Genomic DNA, 18,225 nt, shown 5'->3' on the forward strand with positions numbered 1-18,225 from the left:
GCTAAAAAAATGCTAATGATATCCAAACCATCAGCTACTTGTAATCTTTTTGCTGGTGGAGGGTCTTGTCTCGATTTTGGTGGCTGCTGACTGATCAGCGTGGTGGTTGCTGAAGGTTGGAGTGGTTGTGGCAATTTCTTAAAATAAGACAACAGGCTGGGTATATTGCCTCATACCTGTAAATCCCAGCACTTTGGGAGGCTGAGGTGGGAGAATCTTTTGAGGCCAGGAGTTTAAGACCAGCCTGGGCAACATAGTGAGACCGTGTGTCTACAGAAAATAAAAAGAAATTAGCTGAGTGTGGTGGTGCATGCCTATACTACCATCTACTAGGGAGGGTAGGATGGAAGGGTTGCTTGAGCCCAGGAATTCAAGGTTGTGCCACTGCACTCCAGCCTGGATGGCAGAGTGAGATCCTGCCTCAAAATATAAAACAAAATAAAATAAAATAAAATAAAATAAAATAAAATAAAATAAAATAAAATAAAATAAGATAAAATAAAATAAAATAAAATAAAGTAAAATAAAATAAAATAAAGTAAAATAAAATAAAATAAAATAGTAAAATAAAATACAAAAATGAAGTTTGCCACATCAATTGAACCTTCCTTTCGCTGAAAGATTTCTTTGTAGCACATGATGCTGTCTGGTACTATTTTAACCACAGCAGAACTTTTTTCAAAACTGAAGTCAATTCTCTCAAAGCTTTCTATTGCTTTATTAATATTGTTGTTTCAACAATATTCACAGCATCTTCACCAGAAGTAGATTCCATCTCAAGAAATCACTTTCTTTGTTCATCCATGAGAAGCAACTCCAACTCCTCATCCATTCAAGTTTTACCATGAGATTGCTGCAATTTAGTCACAGCTCTCCAGTTCTTTTTGAAACAGTCTTACTCTGTCGCGCAGGCTGGAGTGCAGTGGCACGATCATGGCTCACTGCAGCTTTTGCCTCCTGAGCTCAAGCAATCCTCCCACCTTAGCCTCTTGAGTAGCTGGGACTACAGGCACATGCCACCATGTCCAGCTAATTTTTGTATTTTTTATAGAGATGGAGTTTTGCCATGTTGCCCAGGCTGATCTTGAGCTCCTGGGCTCAAGTGATCCACCCCAAAAAGTGCTGGGATTACAGGCATGAGCCACTGTGTCCAACCTGGGCTCCGCTTAACCCTTCAAAGTCATCCATGAGGATTGGAACCAACTTCTTCCAAACTCCAGTTAGTGTTGATATTTTTACTTCCTGCCATGAATCACAAATGTTCTTAATGGCATCTAGAGTGGTGAAAACTTTCTACAACGTTTTCAATTTACTTTGCTCCAATCCATCAGAGGAATCACTATCTATGGCAGCTTTGGCATTAGGAGATATATTTCTGAAATAATAAGACTTGAAAATGGAAATGGCTCCTTGATTCATGGGTTGCAGAATGAGTGTTATGTTAGCAGGCATGAAGGCAGCATTAATCTCCTTGTATATCTCCATCAGAGCTCTTGAGTGGCCAAGTGCATTGTCAGTGAGAAGTAATACATATATATTTTTGAGATGGAGTCTCGCTTTGTCATCCAGGCTGGCATGCAGTGATGCAATCTCAGCTTACTGCAACCTCCGCCTCCCAGGTTCAAGTGATTCTCCTGCCTCAGCCTCCCTAGTAGCTGGTATTACAGGCATGCACCGTCACACCTGGCTAATTTTTTTTTGTATTTTCAGTAGAGATGGGATTTCATCATGTTGGCCAGCCTAGTCTTGAACTCCTTACCTCAAGTGATCCACCTGCCTTGGCCTCCCAAAGTGCTGGAATTACAGGTGTGAGCCACCATGCTTGGCCTGCAGTAATATTTTGAAAGAAATCTTTTTTTCTGAGCAGTAGGTCTCAACAGTGGGCTTAAAATATGCAGTAAACCATGCTGTAAACAGATGTGCTGTCATCCAGGCTTTGTTTTTTCATTTCTAGAGCACAGGCAGAGTAGATTTTACATAATTCTTAAGGGTCCTAGGATTTTCAGAATGGTAAATGAGCACTGGCTTCAACTTAAAATCACCAGCTGCATTAGCCCTTGAGAGTCAGTCTGTCCTTTGAAGCTTTGAAGCTAGGCAATAACTTCTCTAGCTATGAAAATCCCAAATGGCATCTTCTTCCAATGGAAGGCTATTTTATCTATGTTGAAAATCTATTGTTTAGTGTGGCCACTGTCATCAATGATCTTAGCTAGATCTTCTGGATAAATTTTCATAGCTTTTACATCAGAACTTGCTACTTCACCTTGCACTTTTATGTTCTGGAGACAACTTCTTTCCTTTAACCTCATGAACCAACCTCTGCTAGCTTTATACTTTTGCAGTTTCCTCATCTTTCTCAGCCTTCATAGAACTGAAGAGAGTTAGGGCATTGTACTGGATGAGGCTTTGGCTTAAGGGAATGTTGTGGCTGGTTTGATTTTCTATCCAGATCACTAAAATTTTCTTCATATCAGTGATAAGGTTGTTTTGCTTTCTCATCATTTGTGTATTCACTGGAGCAGCACTTTTAATTTCCTTCAAGAACTTTTCCTTTGCTTTCACAACTTGGCTAACTGGTGTAAGAAGCTTGGCTTTCCACTTATCTTGGCTTCCAACATGCCTTCCTCACTAAGCTTAATCATTCCTAGCTTTTGATTTAAAGTGAGAGATGTGCTACTTTTCCTTTCACTTGAACACTAGAGGTCATTGTGGGGATATTAATTAGCCTAATTTTAATATTGCTATTTCTCAGGGAATAGGGAGGCCCAAGGAGAGGGAAAGAGTTGGAGGAATGGCTGGTCAGTGGAGCAGTTAGAACACACACAACATTTATCAACTAAGTTTGCTGTCTTATATTGGTGCAATTCATAGCACCCCAAAACAATTACAGTAGTAGCATCAAAGATCACTTATCACAGATCATCATGACAAACATAATAATAATGACAAAGTTTGAAATATTGCGAGAATTACCAAAATATGACACAGACACGTAGTGAACATATGCTGTCAGAAAAAATGGCACTGATAGACTTGCTCAACATGGGGCTGCCATAAACCTTCAATTTGTAAAAAAACACAGTATCTGTGAAGTTCAGTAAAGCAAAGTGCAATTAAATGAAGTATGCCTGTAAACCAAAATTATGATAATGTGCCAGGTATTAGGATATGAATAAAATACTAAGAGATCATGGGAAAGAGAGTAACTTCCTTTTTGGGGTCCTTCGAAGGAGGCTTCCCAGAGTAAGTGGGCCTTGAAAAATGAGGAGTTCTCAGCATGAGAACTCCTGATAGGGAATTCATGTGCTCTCTGGGGAGTGCTTCTGTTGATCTGTAGTTTGATTGGGAGGAGTAGAGAGAAATCAGTCAGGAGGGGTGGGTCACATTAGGAAGGACCTCAAATGCCATAGAGAGGAGGAAAAATTTCAGATGAGATGGAGGAAAGGCTGGAGAGCAGAGAGCCTGGAGCCCAGGAGAATGATTAAGAGACTGTGCAGAAGGTCAGGCAGATGTGATAAAGAACAAGATCAGGCTGATGGTGCTCAGGAGAGAGAGGGGAGGGCGGAGGAATTGGAGACTGTTTGGATGCATTCCTTTGGTATCTCAGACTCATCTTGGATTGGTCAGATTTGGACCTAGAGGCTGTCATCTGGGGGCAAGTTTATTACATTGGATGGCTAATAAAACTGTATTGATTCTGTTTTGTTTTGAAACAAGAAATCCCCCTGCTGGGAGAAATGTCAATCTGATGTGCCGGAAGGGAATGAGCAATAGAACTGCTTGGATTGTCTTAACTGAAAACTGCTGTTTCAGTATGACAGGGGATTGTGCTCTGTGCTGGGCCAGGCTCAGACCTTTATTAGATTATAATTCTCTTCTTGATTTGGAGCCCTGACACTGACCTGGGTTAGACATTGGAGAGGATGCAGGGTTGGGGAGGGGTGGAACCAAGGTGCGTGCAGGAAGCCTTGTGAAAGACAAAACCTGGAGTTAGTGTGGACACATAGTGATTCATTCGTTTATCCATTCATTCATCAAATCTATATGAGATTTTACCCTGTGCCCAGGAAGGCACGGACCACTGGAGATGCAAAGCTCTTGTTCCCCAGGAGCACCTAGTCTAGGAACCAAGGGAGAGAAAGCTTGCAAATGGGTTGGTTTGGCACTGTCAGATCTAGTCTTTGATAAAAAAGTGGATTGGAGTTTAAGATGTTTGTCCTTGGAACCCTCCTCTTCTCCCCTTTTCTCTATCCTACCCCTCCCCAGGCTTCCTCATGGTGGTGGATTTGTGTACCATTCTTATTCACAGCTGACCACTAGCTCAGCCCCATTAAAGCATCAGCTGATGATCAGAGAATTTCTAATAATAGCTTAAGGGATGATCCATCCTGAGCTTTCTTTTCCAATGTGTGTGAGAGAAAGCCCTGGCTTAGGCTCTGGTCCCAGCCTGACTGCTCACTAGCTTTGTGACTTTGGAAAAATCATTTAGCCTTTTCTGAGCCTCATTAATCATAATTCCTGCTCTGCCCTCCTCATGGGATGGTTGGAAGGCTCAACAGGATGTGGATATGCTTTGAAAATTGTTGAGCTCAGTACAAAAGCAAGAGCCTGTAATTACTCCCTATGCTCTCTGTTGCTCAGAGACAGATATCTAGATTATCATGTCAGGATCCTCACAATTCACAGGATGCCCCTTTCTTTACCCCAACTCTTAAGGGAATAAACATACCACACCTTGGTTCACCTCCTCTCAGTCAAAGGTAGTGAACTCTGGGGCCAATGGGGTTGGACTTATTTTCCCCTAGATGATATCTATATGAAGGGCAAGGTGAGTGAGATTTAAAAAGGAATCACTAAAAATTTCTATGTCAGTGGCAAAATAAGAGTGGATAGATAGGCTGAGACCAAAGCAGGAGAGGTTAGGTTAAACACTGGGAAGAACAAACATGGTGTTTGGAATTGGGAGACACTGGACTCTGCAAAGTTAGTACTTTTTAAGACCTGGGCGTCATCTTTTCTGACCAATTGTGTGACTTTGGGCAAGTTACCAAGGTCACTCAGGTATCATTTACTAGTTATCAAAGGTCTCTAGGCTTTATTTCTAAGGATTGCACTGAGCTAACATAGTGCTTACACTAAAATGTGAGCTGAATTGAATCTCCTTTTCTGGAACTTATTCTGATATGAAAGATGGAGGCAGCTTAATTAGTATAATTTTGGGGGCAGTGGGATAAGTTAGGGAGTTAGAATCCTAGTATTCTGCAAAGCCCTCATGGAGAATTCACATTTCAGATTGCATGAAAACTTGGTCAAAGTCTAGTTAGTAATTGTGAGCTGAACATAGCTGTTCAGTTGCTGAAATGCCATTATTTGTGTGCAGTTGGAGGAGGAGAAAGGGACATTTGTCAGGCTATGTGTAAGTATCTTGAGCTCTTCCCTACAAAAACCTATGACAAATATAAAATTTTATTTAGGAGGCTAAAGGGAAGTAGTAAGGAGTTAAAGAAGTCTGGCTTAAATAGGAGAAAGCTGAATTTACTTGCCACTCATAAACATGTCTTCACAGGAGGAAAATGAAGGCTGCAGTTGATTATTCACATTAGAAGGAGAAGTTCCTGTCCTGTCTCTCATCAAGAAGATGTCCCAAGTGGAATGGTTTCTTGATGAGGAAGCCTTCCCAAAATTTCCTATGTGGAAACCTTCCCAATTTGCAGTTGTTGAGTGACATCGACATGATTGTCAATGATGATGATGATTACAATGATGGTGGGAATATATACTATGTGCCAGGCCCCGTGCTAAGTACTTTACTGATTATCTCCCTGAGATGATGCATTACTACCACATGATGCATTATTAGCTTCAATTTACAGGTGTAGAAACAGAGGTTGGTGAAGGTAAAAGCTTGTTCAAGCTTACCTTTCTAGTAAATGAACAGGCTGGGCACAGTGGCTCACATCTGTAATCCCAGCACTTTGGGAGGCCGAGGCGGGAGGATCATGAGGTCAGAGGTTCAAGACCAGCCTGGCCAGTATGGTGAAACCTTGTCTGTACTAAAAATACAAAAATTAGCCTGGTGTGGTGGTGCATACCTGTAATCCCAGCTACTTGGGAGGCTGAAGCAGGAGAATCGCTTGAACCCAGGAGGCGGAGGTTGCAGTGAGCTGAGATCGTGCCACTGTACTCCAGCCTAGGTGACAGAGCAAGACTCTGTCAAAAAAAAAAAAAAAAAGCACACACCCAGGCAGTCTCATCCAAGAGCCAACAAGTATATATTGCCTCGTAATTTGAATTAGTTTCTAGCTCCTGCTTTAATCATTATCTTAAGTTATAAGATATTTGAATTAAATTGAAGCAGTATACAGAGATTTTCTTTACTATTGCTATGTCTGAGTTTTAAACTTCCTTGAAACAATTCTCTGAGCTTTCAAATAAAGGTATCTTACTGCTTGCAAGTTACCTTATTGTCAATTTTTTGGGAACAAACTCTTAAGGCAGACACTATTATTCCCTTTAACAGATGAAGAAATAGAAGCTCAGATAATTTAAGTCAGTGCTCCTCAAACTTATATAATCTGAGGGTCTTGTTAAAAGCAGGTCTGGGGTAGGTCTTGAGATTCTGCAGTTCCAACAAGCTCCTAGGTGCTGTCGAGGCTGCCGGTCTGGGGACCATCCTTTGAGGAGCGAGGAGAAGTAACCTGCTCAGGATGACATAGCATATAAGAAAGAGATCCTTGGCCGGGCGCGGTGGCTCACGCCTGTAATTCCAGCATTTTGAGAGGCCGAGGTGGGTGGATCACGAGGTCAGGAGATTGAGACCATCCTGGGTAACACAGTGAAACCCCGTCTCTACTAAAAATACAAAAAATTAGCTGGGCGTGGTGGTGGGCGCCTGTAGTCCCAGCCACTCGGGAGGCTGAGGCAGGAGAATGGTGTGAGCCCGGGAGGCGGAGCTTGCAGTGAGGCAAGATTGCACCACTGCACTCCAGCCTGGGTGACAGAGCGAGACCCCGTCTCAAAAAAAAAAAAAAAAAAAAGAGAAAAAGAAAAAGAAAGAGATCCTTGAAGCCTAGTTTCTTTTTGTTGTTGTTGTTGTAGTATTTATTTATTTATTTATTTAGAGATGGAACCTCACTCTGTCACCCAGGCTGGAGTGCAGTGGGGTGATCTTAGCTCACTGCAACCTCCACCTCCCAGCTTCAAGCAATTCTCGTGCTTCAGCCTCCTGAGTAGCTGGGAATATAGGTGTGCGCCATACTCAGCCAGTTTTTTTTTGTATTTTTAGTAAAGACAGGGTTTCACCATGTTGGCCAGGCTGGTCTCGAACTCCTCACCTCAGGTGATCTGCCCACCTCAGTCTTCCAAAGTGCTGGGATTACAGGCATGAGCCACTGCACCTGGCCTGAAATTTTTTTTTTTTTTTTTATTGTTCATTCTTGGGTGTTTCTCGCAGAGGGGGATTTGGCAGGGTCATAGGACAATAGTGGAGGGAAGGTCAGCAGATAAACAAGTGAACAAAGGTCTCTGGTTTTCCTAGGCAGAGGACCCTGCAGCCTTCCGCAGTGTTTGTGTCCCTGGGTACTTGAGATTAGGGAGTGGTGATGACTCTTAACGAGCATGCTGCCTTCAAGCATCTGTTTAACAAAGCACATCTTGCACCGCCCTTAATACATTTAACCCTGAGTGGACACAGCACATGTTTCAGAGAGCACAGGGTTGGGGGTAAGGTCACAGATCAACAGGATAAGAATTTTTCTTAGTACAGAGCAAAATGAAAAGTCTCCCATGTCTACCTCTCTCTACACAGACACGGCAACCATCCGATTTCTCAATCTTTTCCCCACCTTTCCCCCCTTTCTACTCCACAAAACCGCCATTGTCATCATGGCCCGTTCTCAATGAGCTGCTGGGTACACCTCCCAGACGGGGTGGTGGCCGGGCAGACGGGCTCCTCACTTCCCAGTAGGGGCGGCTGGGCAGAGGCGCCCCTCACCTCCCGGACGGGTCGGCTGGCCAGGCGGGGGGCTGATCCCCCCACCTCCCTCCCGGACGGGGCGGCTGGCCGGGCGGAGGGCTGACCCCCCCACCTCCCTCCCGGATGGGGCGGCTGGCCGGGTGGGGGGCTGACCCCCCCACCTCCTTCCCGGATGAGGCAGCTGGCTGGGCAGAGGGGCTCCTCACTTCCCAGTAGGGGCGGCCGGGCAGAGGCGCCCCTCACCTCCCGGAAGGGTCGGCTAGCTGGGCGGGGGGCTGACCCCCCCACCTCCCTCCCGGATGGGGCTGCTGGCCGGGCGGGGGGCTGATCCCCCCACCTCCCTCCCAGATGGGGCGGCTGGCCGGGCGGGGGGCTGACCGCCCCACCTCCTTCCCGGACGAGGCGGCTGGCTGGGCAGAGGGGCTCCTCACTTCCCAGTAGGGGCGGCCGGGCAGAGGCGCCCCTCACCTCCCGGACGGGTCGGCTGGCCGGGCGGGGGGCTGACCCCGCCACCTCCCTCCCGGACGGGTTGGCTGGCCGGGCGGGGGGCTGACCCCCCCACCTCCCTCCCAGGCGGGGCGGCTGGCCGGGAGAGGGGCTCCTCACTTCCCAGTAGGGGCGGCCGGGCAGAGGCGCCCCTCACCTCCCGGATGGGGCGGCTGGCCGGGCGGGGGGCTGACCCCCCCCCACCTCCCTCCCGGACGGGGCGGCTGGCCGGGCAGAGGGGCTCCTCACTTCCCAGTAGGGGTGGCGGGGCAGAGACGCCCCTCACCTCCCGGACGGGGCGGCTGCCGGGCAGAGACGCTCCTCACTTCCCAGACGGGGTGGCTGCCGGGCGGAGGGGCTCCTCACTTCTCAGACGGGGCGGTTGCCAGGCGGAGGGTCTCCTCTCAGACGGGGCGGCCGGGCAGAGACGCTCCTCACCTCCCAGACGGGGTCGCAGCCGGGTAGAGGCGCTCCTCACATCCCAGCCGGGGCGGCAGGGCAGAGGCGCTCCCCCCATCTCAGACGATGGGAGGCCGGGCAGAGACGCTCCTCACTTCCTAGATGGGATGGCGGCCGGGAAGAGGCGCTCCTCACTTCCTAGATGGTATGGCGCCGGGCAGAGACGCTCCTCACTTTCCAGACTGGGCAGCCAAGCAGAGGGGCTCCTCACGTCCCAGACGATGGGCGGCCAGGCAGAGACGCTCCTCACTTCCCAGATGGGGTGGCGGCCGGGCAGAGGCTGCAATCTCGGTACTTTGGGAGGCCAAGGCAGGCGGCTGGGAGGTGGAGGTTGTAGCGAGCCGAGATCACGCCACTGCACTCCAGCCTGGGCACCATTGAGCACTGAGTGAACCAGACTCCGTCTGCAATCCCGGCACCTCGGGAGGCCAAGGCTGGTGGATCACTCGCGGTTAGGAGCTGGAGACCAGCCTGGCCAACACAGCGAAACCTCGTCTCCACCAAAAAAATACGAAAACCAGTCAGGCGTGGCGGCGCGCGCCTGCAATCGCAGGCACTCGGCAGGCTGAGGCAGGAGAATCAGGCAGGGAGGTTGGAGTGAGCCGAGATGGCAGCAGTACAGTCCAGCTTCGGCTCGGCATCAGAGGGAGACCGTGGAAAGAGAGGGAGAGGGAGACCGTGGGGAGAGGGAGAGGGAAGAGGGGAGAGGAAGAGGGGAGAGGGGAGAGGGGAGAGGGAGGGGGAGAGGAAGAGGGAGAGGCGAAGCCTAGTTTCTTAACAGCAGCTTGTTTCTAAGGTGTGGTATTGGCGGTACTGGCAATGCATGATTGCCCTTTGTCTGGTGGGACAGGCAGCTGGACAAGTATCTGGACTTGAGTCTGGCTCTGACTGCTCTGCCTCTTGTCCATGCCTTATCCCCTCTCTGAGCTTCAGTTTCTTTCTATGTACAAATTTGGGGTTAAATTACATAACTTCTGAGATCTCTGAATACTATAGTACCATGGTAAATTATGAGGAGAAGTGCCAGGATGCAGGCAGAACCCTGGATGGAAAGACATTTCCATGAGACAAGAAGATTAAAAGGAGTCACCTTAGAATGCAGATCATTTCTAGGCAAGCTCCCTGTTCAGGATCAGTAGAGAAAATATTTTATCTCTGTGAAAGGGAATGATTAATGTGCCCCAGGGTGCTGATTTTCTCAGGGACTGTGAGTTAGCACCAGAAACCTGGGTAGCTGCGTCAGACTCTCCAGACTGTGCTTTAAACAGGAGGGAGACAGCAGCTATTGGATCTCTGTCAATCTGTGTGACTTTCCTAAGCTTTCAGCCTTGTCTGGAAAGGTGGGGACTTCCTTCTCATCCACTATTCTAGGGCAGAGCACCTTATCTTACATTCAAGAACCTTACAGTAGATGGGCATGTTCATTGAGGTGTGTGTATATAGTAAGTGCTCAAGTTTTAAAAGCTCTCTTGTGAACAGCAAGGTGGTTTTTAAGGAACCAACAATAACCCAAACAGAGAACTTTTCTGTCGAATTTATTCCTCACCAGGGGTACCTGGAAAAGTAGCGTTGACTCTCCAGGACTGAAGCCAGATAGGAAAGGTGTTTACCTCAGGACAGATGCCAATAAAGAAAGAGGGTTAATGATGCTGATTATCGCAACTACTCTTTTTTATCTCATTTGATACACAAAACTACCCTATGGGGTAGATATTATTAAGCTCATTAAGAAACAGAGGCTTTGGAGGTTAAGATGCTTATCCAAGGTGACAGCTTGTGAGTGGAATTTAAGTGCTCGTCTGATTACCCCAAAGCTCTCCTACTCTTTCCATTCTGCTACACTGCTTATCCTATAAAACCATTTCCAAGAGAGGGGCTGAGGATCACATTGGAGAAGTCATGTTTGTCTGGAGAGTTGACCTTGGACCTCAAAAGATAAGATACAAGCAGAAAGAATAGAGAAGTAAGGAGCAAAGGTGGGAATAAGCTGAGGGAGTCCAGGACTTTAGCTGTAAATAGGGCCAGGAAACCCAGAACTCTGATAAAAGACCATGTAAAGGGCTTATCACCTTCCTGGTGCTGCTTGCTCAAGATGTAATAGTGTTTCTGGGTTCAAGGTAAGCTATTGCTTTTTGGCTCTAGATGAAGCTGCAACTTCCTTTGCGTTAATTCACCCTGGTTAGCTATGGCTTCATTTTAGCCCCAAGGTGCATGTATCTCTTCTTTAGCCGTGGCTTTCCTCCCTCGGACTCTTCCTGTCCTCATCCTTCATCTGATCATCAAGATGAAATATAATCCTCCTGGAGAGTATGAGTGCATGCCTTCTTGAGATGTGTATAGGTTAATCACAAGAGACAGTCATTTCATCTCTCCTGGGCAGAGTTGACCTAGTTGGATAGACTCTCTCAGCCTGGTTTTCCACAGTTCATGATGCAAGGGTCAGGGATAAGTTTTGACATGAGAAAGCTCTGATTCAGAGAAAAGAATGCACAAGTGTATAACCTATTCATCATTTCATCCACAATAATAATTGTATTCCTATGTACGTGATACCGTGCTACTCCCTAAGATGGGTGGGGATAGGTAGAAAAAAGAACACAAAAAAGTAGAAGACTAGTCCATGCCAAGGAGAACTTTTCTACCTAATTGAATATTTCGGTATAAGAAGAATGGGGAGCATATGTGAGGTTGAGATGATCAAATTTAATGGCTGAAGTGCTCGTTCATTTGAAATATCTTTATTAGATGTCTCTTATATGCCAAGTACTTTGCAAGGCACAAGGTAAGCCAAACAGTTATTCCCCAAAAGAAGCTTAGTTCTAGAAGGAGACGTTTACAAACAAGTGAAAAGGTCATTGCAAACCTTTATTGGGTGTTTGCTAAGTGATGAGCACTATACTGGACTTTGCCTTATAAGTTTTCCCTTTGATGTGTTTATTGATATACAATATTATACACATTTATGGTGTACATGTGAGTATTTGTTACAGAATGTGTAATCAAGTCAGGGTATTGGGGTTATTCATCACTCTAAGCATTTATTATTTCTATTTGTTGAGAATATTTCAAGTCCTCTCATCAAGCTACTTTGAAACATGCAATACATTGTTGCTGATAACAGTCACCCTAATCTACTACTGAACATTGGAACTTCTATCTTAAAATTCTTTAATTTTTAATTTTTGTGGGTACATAAGAGATGTGTATATTTATGGGGTACATGAGATATTTTGATAGAGGCATACCATGCATAGTAATCACATCAGGGTAAATGGGGTATCCATCCCCTCAAACATTTATCCTTTGTATTACAAACAATCCAATTGTATTCTTTAGGTATTTAAAAATATATAACAAATTATTTTACACTGCAGTTACCCTGTTGTGCTATCAAATACTACATCTTATCCATTATATCAAACTATATATTTGTATCCATTTACCATCCCCACTTCTCCCAACCACCACTGCCCTTCCCAGCCTCTAGTAACCATCATTCTACTCTCTATCACCATGAGTTCAATTGTTTTAATTTTTTTTTTAGCTCCCACAAATAAGTGAGAACTTGCAAAGTTTCTGTGCCTGGCTTATTTTGCTTAATGTAATGATCTCCAGTTCTATCTGTGTTGTTCCCAGTGACAGGATCTCATTCTTTTTATGGCTGAATACACTCCATTGTGTAGATGTATCACATTTTCTTTATATATTTGTCTATTGATGGACACTTAGGTTGCTTCCAAATCTTGGCCATTGTGAATAGTGCTGGAGCAAACATGGGTGTGCAGATCTCTCTTTGATACACTGATTTCCTTTCTTTGGGATGTATACCTAGCAGTGGGATGGTGGATCATTTGTAGTTCTATTTTTAGTGTTTTGAGGAACCTCTAAACTGCTCTCCATGGTAGTTGTAATAATTCACAGCCCCACCGGCTGTGTACAAGTGTTGCCTTTCCTCTGCATCCTCACCAGCATTTGTTATTGCCTGTCTTTTGGATATAAGTCATTTTAACTGGGGTGAAACAATATCTCATTATAGTTATTGCATTTATCTGATGATCAGTGATGTTGAACACCTTTTCATATACCTGTTTGCCATTTGCATGTCTTTTGAGAGATGTCTATTCACATCTTTCGCCCATTTTTAATCAGATTAGATTTTTCCCCAAGAATGTATATCTTCTATCTCTATCTAACCATATGTTTGTACCCATTAACTAACCTCTCTTCATCTCTCACTCCCACCCACACATCCTTTCCAGCCTCTGCTATCATTTTACTCTGTACCTCCATGAGATCAACTTTTTAGCTCCCACATATGAGTGAGACTATATGATGTTTGTCTTTCTGTGCCTGGCTCATTTCATCTGACATAATGACCTCTAGTTTCATCCATGTTACACAACTAACAGGATTTCATCCTTTTCTATAGCTTAAAAGTATTCCATTGTGTATGAATGCCACATTTACTTTATCCATTCATCTGTAGATGGACTCCATATCTTTCCTTTTGTGAATAGTGCTGCAATAAACATGTGAGTACAGGTATCCCTTTGAAGTACTGATTTATTTTCCTTTGGGTAAATACCTAGTAGTGGGATTACTGGATCATACGGTAGCTCCATTTTTAGTGTTTTGAGAAATCTCCGTACTGTTTTTCACAGTGGCTATACTAATTTGCATTCTCAACAATAGTGTATAAGTTCCCTTTTATCTGCATCCTTTCCAGTGTCTGTTGTTTCTCGTTTTTTTTTTTTTCATATAATAACCACTTTAACTGGGGTAAGATGGTATCTCACTGTGGTTTTGATTCGCATTTACCTGATGATTAGTAATGGTAATCATTTTTTAATATACCTCTTGGCCATTTCTATGTCTACTTTTGAGAAATGTCTATTCATGTCCTTTGCTCATGTCTAAATGGGATTATTTCATTTTTTAATTGAGTTTTTTGTATGTTTTGGATATTAATTCCTTGCTGAATGAATAGTTTGCAAATATTTTTTCCGATTCAACAGATTGTGTCTTCACTGTGTTGTTTCCTTTGCTGTGCAGAAGCTTTGTAGTTTAATGTTGTTCCATTTGTCTATTTTTGTTTTTGTCTGTGCTTTTGAGGTCTTAGCCATAAATCTTTACCTAGACCAATGTCCTGAAGTGTTTTCCCTATGTTTTCTTCTAGTGGTTTTATGATTTGGGGACTTACATTTAAGTCTTTAATTCCTCTTTTGTTGATTTTTGTATGTGGTAAGAGATAGGGATCTAGTTTCATTCCTTTGCATACGGATATTTATTTTTCCCAGCACCATTTATTGAAGAGGGTATTCTTTCCCCAATGTATGTTCTTGGTGCCTTTGCTGAAAATCAAAGTAAACATGTAAATATGTAGATACGTAGATTTATTTCAAGAATCTCTATTCTGCTCTATGTTTCTGTTTTATACCAATATCACACTGTTTTGGTTACTATAGCCTTGTAATATATTTTGAAGTCAGGCAGTTTGATACCTCCAGCTTTGTTCTTCCTCCTCGAGATTGCTTTGGCCATTTAGACTCTTTTTTGGTTCCACATGAATTTAGGATTCTTAAAAATAAGTCTCTGAAAAATGATATTGGTATTTTGATAGGGATGGCATTGAATCTGTAGATTGCTTTGGGCAGAATGGTCATCATTTTAGCTATATTAATTCTGCTCATTGAGCATGAGATTTCTTTCCATTTGTTTGTGTCCTTTTCAATTTCTCTTATCAGCAATCTGTAGTTTGTCTTGTAGAGATCTTTCACCTCCTTGGTTAACTTTATTCTCAGGTATTTTAATTGTTTGGTAGCTACTGTAAGTGGGGTTGCCTTCTTGATTTCTTTCTCAGCTAGTTCATTATTGGTGTATAGAAATGTCGATTTTTCTATGTTGATTTCATATCCTGCAACTTTACTGAATTTATCAGATTTAAAAAAACTTTTTTTTTGGTGAAGTCTTTAGGTTGTTCTAAATGTAAGATCATATTATCAGCAAAGAGGGACAATTTGACCTCCTCTTTTCCAATTTGGATACATTTTAGTTCTTTTGCCTGATTGCTCCGGCTAGGACTTCAGTACTAACTTGAATAGGAGTGGTGAAAGTGGGCATTTTTATCTTTTTCCAGTTCTTAGAGGCTTTTAGCTTTTCCCCATTCATTATGATGTTAGCTGCGATTTTGTTGTGTATGGCTTTTATTATGTTGAGGTACATTCCTTCTATGCCTAGTTTGTTAAGAGTTGTTTCTTTTTTTAAGAATGAAGGGATTTTGAATTTTATCAAATGCTTTTTCTGCATCTGTTGAGATGATCATATGGTTTTTGTTCTTCACTCTGTCCTTGTGATATGTGATGTTTATTGATTTGCATATTTTAAATCATCCCTGCATCCCTGGGATAAATCCCTCTCGATTGCTTTATATTATTTTTTGATGTGCTGTTGAATTCAGTTTGCTAATATTTTGTTGAGGATATTTACATCTATATTCATCAGGAAGATTGGCCTGCAGTTTTTTCTTTCTTTCTTGTGTCTTTGTCTGGTTTTGGTATCAGGGTAATGCTGGTAGAATGAGTTAGAATTCCCTCCTTTTAGATTTTTTGGAATAGTTTGAGGAGAACTGGTGTTAGTTCTTCCTTGACAGTGTGGTAGAATTTGGCAGTGAAGCCATCTGGTCCTGGACTTTTCTTTGTTGGAGACTTTTTTATTACTGCTTTAATCTCATTACTTGTTATTGGTCTGTTCAGGTTTTCTGTTTCTTCCTGATTCAATATTGGTAGATTGTGTATGCGCGGAATTTTTTCCATTTCCTCTTGGTTTTCCTGTTTGTTAGTGTATAGTTATTCAAAATAGTTTCCAATGATCTTTCGTATTTCTATGATATCAGTTGTAATGTCTCCTTTTTCATTTCGGATTTTGTTTCTGTAGTTATTCTCTGTTTTTCTTGATTAGTCTAGCAAGTGGTTTATCAATTTTGTTCATCTTTTCAATTTTTCATCTCATTGATCCTTTGTAGTTTTTTAATTGATCATCTGTAATTTTTTAAAAGTCTCTGTTTTGTTTAGTTCTGCTCCGATCTTTACTATTTATTTTGTTTTGCTAATTGTTGGTTTAGTTTGTTCTTACTTTTCTAGTTCCTTGAGGTGCACCAGATTGTTTATTTGAAATCTTTCTCCTTTTTTGATGTAAGCCCTTATTGCTATAATATTTCCTCTTAGCACTGTTTTTGCTATATCTTATAGGTTCTGGTATGTTATGTTTTGATATTCATTTCTTTCAAACATTTTTTGATTTACTCTTTAATTTCTTCCTTGTTCTAATGGTCATTCAGTAGCATGTTGTTCAATTTCCATGTATGTGTACAGTTTCCAAAGTTTCTCTTGTTAATGATTTCTAGTTTTATCTATTGTGGTCTGAGGAGGTATTTGAATATGATTTTGATATTAAAAATTTGTTCAGACTTATTTTGTGTCCTATCGTATGGTCTGTCCTGGAGAATGTTTCATGTGCTGATGAGAAGAATCTTTATTCTGTAGCTGTTAGATGAAATATTCTGTATATGTTTGTTAGGTCCATTTGGTCTAAAGTGCAGTTTAAATCCAATGTTTCCTTCTTATTTTTATTTTTTACTTGTGCTTAATACAACGTAACCAATATTTCTTTGTTAAATTTCTGTCTACATGATCTGTTTAATGCTGAGAATGAGGTGTTAAGTCTTGAAATGTTACTGTATTGGAGTCTATTTCTCTCTTTAAATCAAATAATATTTGCTTTATACGTATGGGTGCTCCCATGCTGGGTGCATAAATAAGTCTATGTTTAAAATTATTATATCATCTTCCTTAATTGATCCCTTTATTATTATATAATCACTTCTGTGTCTCTTTGTCATGTTTTTATCTTAAAGTCTGTTTTATCTGATATAAGTATAGCTACTCCCTCTTGCTTTTGGTCCGTTTGCATGGAATGTCTTTTTCCATCTCTTTACTTTGTCTATATGTGTCTTTAAAAGTGAGATGAGTTTCTTGTAACCAGTAAATCATTGGGCCATTTTTTTAAACAAAATTCATTCACCCAGTCTGTATCTTTTAAGTGAAAAGTTTAATCCATTTGCATTTAAGGTTATTATTGATAGGTGCCTTCTGGGACTCCAGAAATTCTAATATTTGGTCACGTTATGGTGTCCCATATGTTATTTAGGCTTTGATCATTTTTTTTCTTTATTTTTATCTGACCGTGTTACTGCAAAAGACCTGTTTTCAAGTTCTGAGATCTTTTCTTCTTCTTGTTCTAGTCTATTGTTGAAGTTTTCAAATGTTGAAATTTAAAAAAACCAATGTTTTGAATTATTTTTCTAGGATTTTGTAAATTTCTTTTTCATTGATATCTATTGCTGAAGAATTATTGTGTTCCTTTGGAGGGGTCATATTTTCTTATTTTTTCATATTTCTTGTGTTTTTACATCGATGTCTGCACATCTGGTGTAACAGTTGCTTCTTCCAATTTTTTGAATTTACTTTTGTAGGGGAAGACTTTTTCCTGAAGATGTTTCTATGGTATTGTTTAGATAGGGCACTTTGGCTTTGATACTGAATGCACATAGTAGTCTAGTCTTTGTATGATTTCTTTAGCTGTAAATAGTGTCAGTGGTATCTGTGATTTCCTTGGTAACTTAGGGTGTGATTATTAGTGGAGGCTATGATGAAGTTTTGCTGAGGACTGGAACAATGGGAAGGCCAGTCTTTGGGCCCCAGTGGTGGCAGTAGTAGGCTGAGCATTCTCGTCCTTGGGCCTCCTGAGCGGCATATGCTGGCACTGGTGTTAGCAGGTCTAAGTGGGCTGATTCTTGGGCATCCAAGTGGCTTGCTCAGATGCTGATAGTGTCAGCAGTGAGTTGGGTGAGTGGATGGGTTCCTGGGCTCCTGGGCAACAGGTGTGGTGTGAGTGATGGCACTGGCAGTGGCAAGATAACCATCTGTGTCTCGAGTGATGTGTGCTGGTGATAGCAGTGGCTGTGATGGGCTGGACAGGCCACTCTGCAGGCCTGCAAGTGGTGTATGCAAGTAGGTGCCAGCTGTGGTGGTAGCAGCAGGGTGGGTGGACCCAACTTCAGGCCCCCAGCAGGAGTGCTCAGGTGCCATTGGTGATGGACTGGGTGATCCCCAGGTCCCTAGACTACATGCTCTGGCATGAGTGGGTGGATGTGGGCAAAGCCAGGCTGGGCAGGTGGGGGACTGTCTCTGGGTACACTAAAATGTGTAATGGCTCCACTATTGGAGGCCGTAGAGTGACTGCCTGTG

The 18,225-nt window shown here is 42.8% G+C and overlaps 1 long non-coding RNA gene across 1 annotated transcript in view, besides 1 other annotated feature; it reads left to right on the forward strand.

Moving 5' to 3' along the window:
* Window positions 1-18,225, forward strand: part of CCDC90B-AS1 (CCDC90B antisense RNA 1) — a 140,270-nt gene that overhangs the window by 22,091 nt on the left and 99,954 nt on the right. The gene's annotated exons all lie outside the window — the stretch shown is intronic.
* Window positions 17,539-18,039: an enhancer, noted in NCBI's record as "H3K4me1 hESC enhancer chr11:83036792-83037292 (GRCh37/hg19 assembly coordinates)". NCBI's record gives its function as "activates a minimal SCP1, AML or CMV promoter by ChIP-STARR-seq in naive and primed H9 embryonic stem cells {active_cell/tissue: H9 hESC(naive and primed)}" and the evidence as "EXISTENCE:reporter gene assay evidence [ECO:0000049][PMID:30033119]".

This window comes from Homo sapiens, chromosome 11 (assembly GCF_000001405.40).
Source record: "Homo sapiens chromosome 11, GRCh38.p14 Primary Assembly".
NCBI lineage: Eukaryota > Metazoa > Chordata > Mammalia > Primates > Hominidae > Homo > Homo sapiens.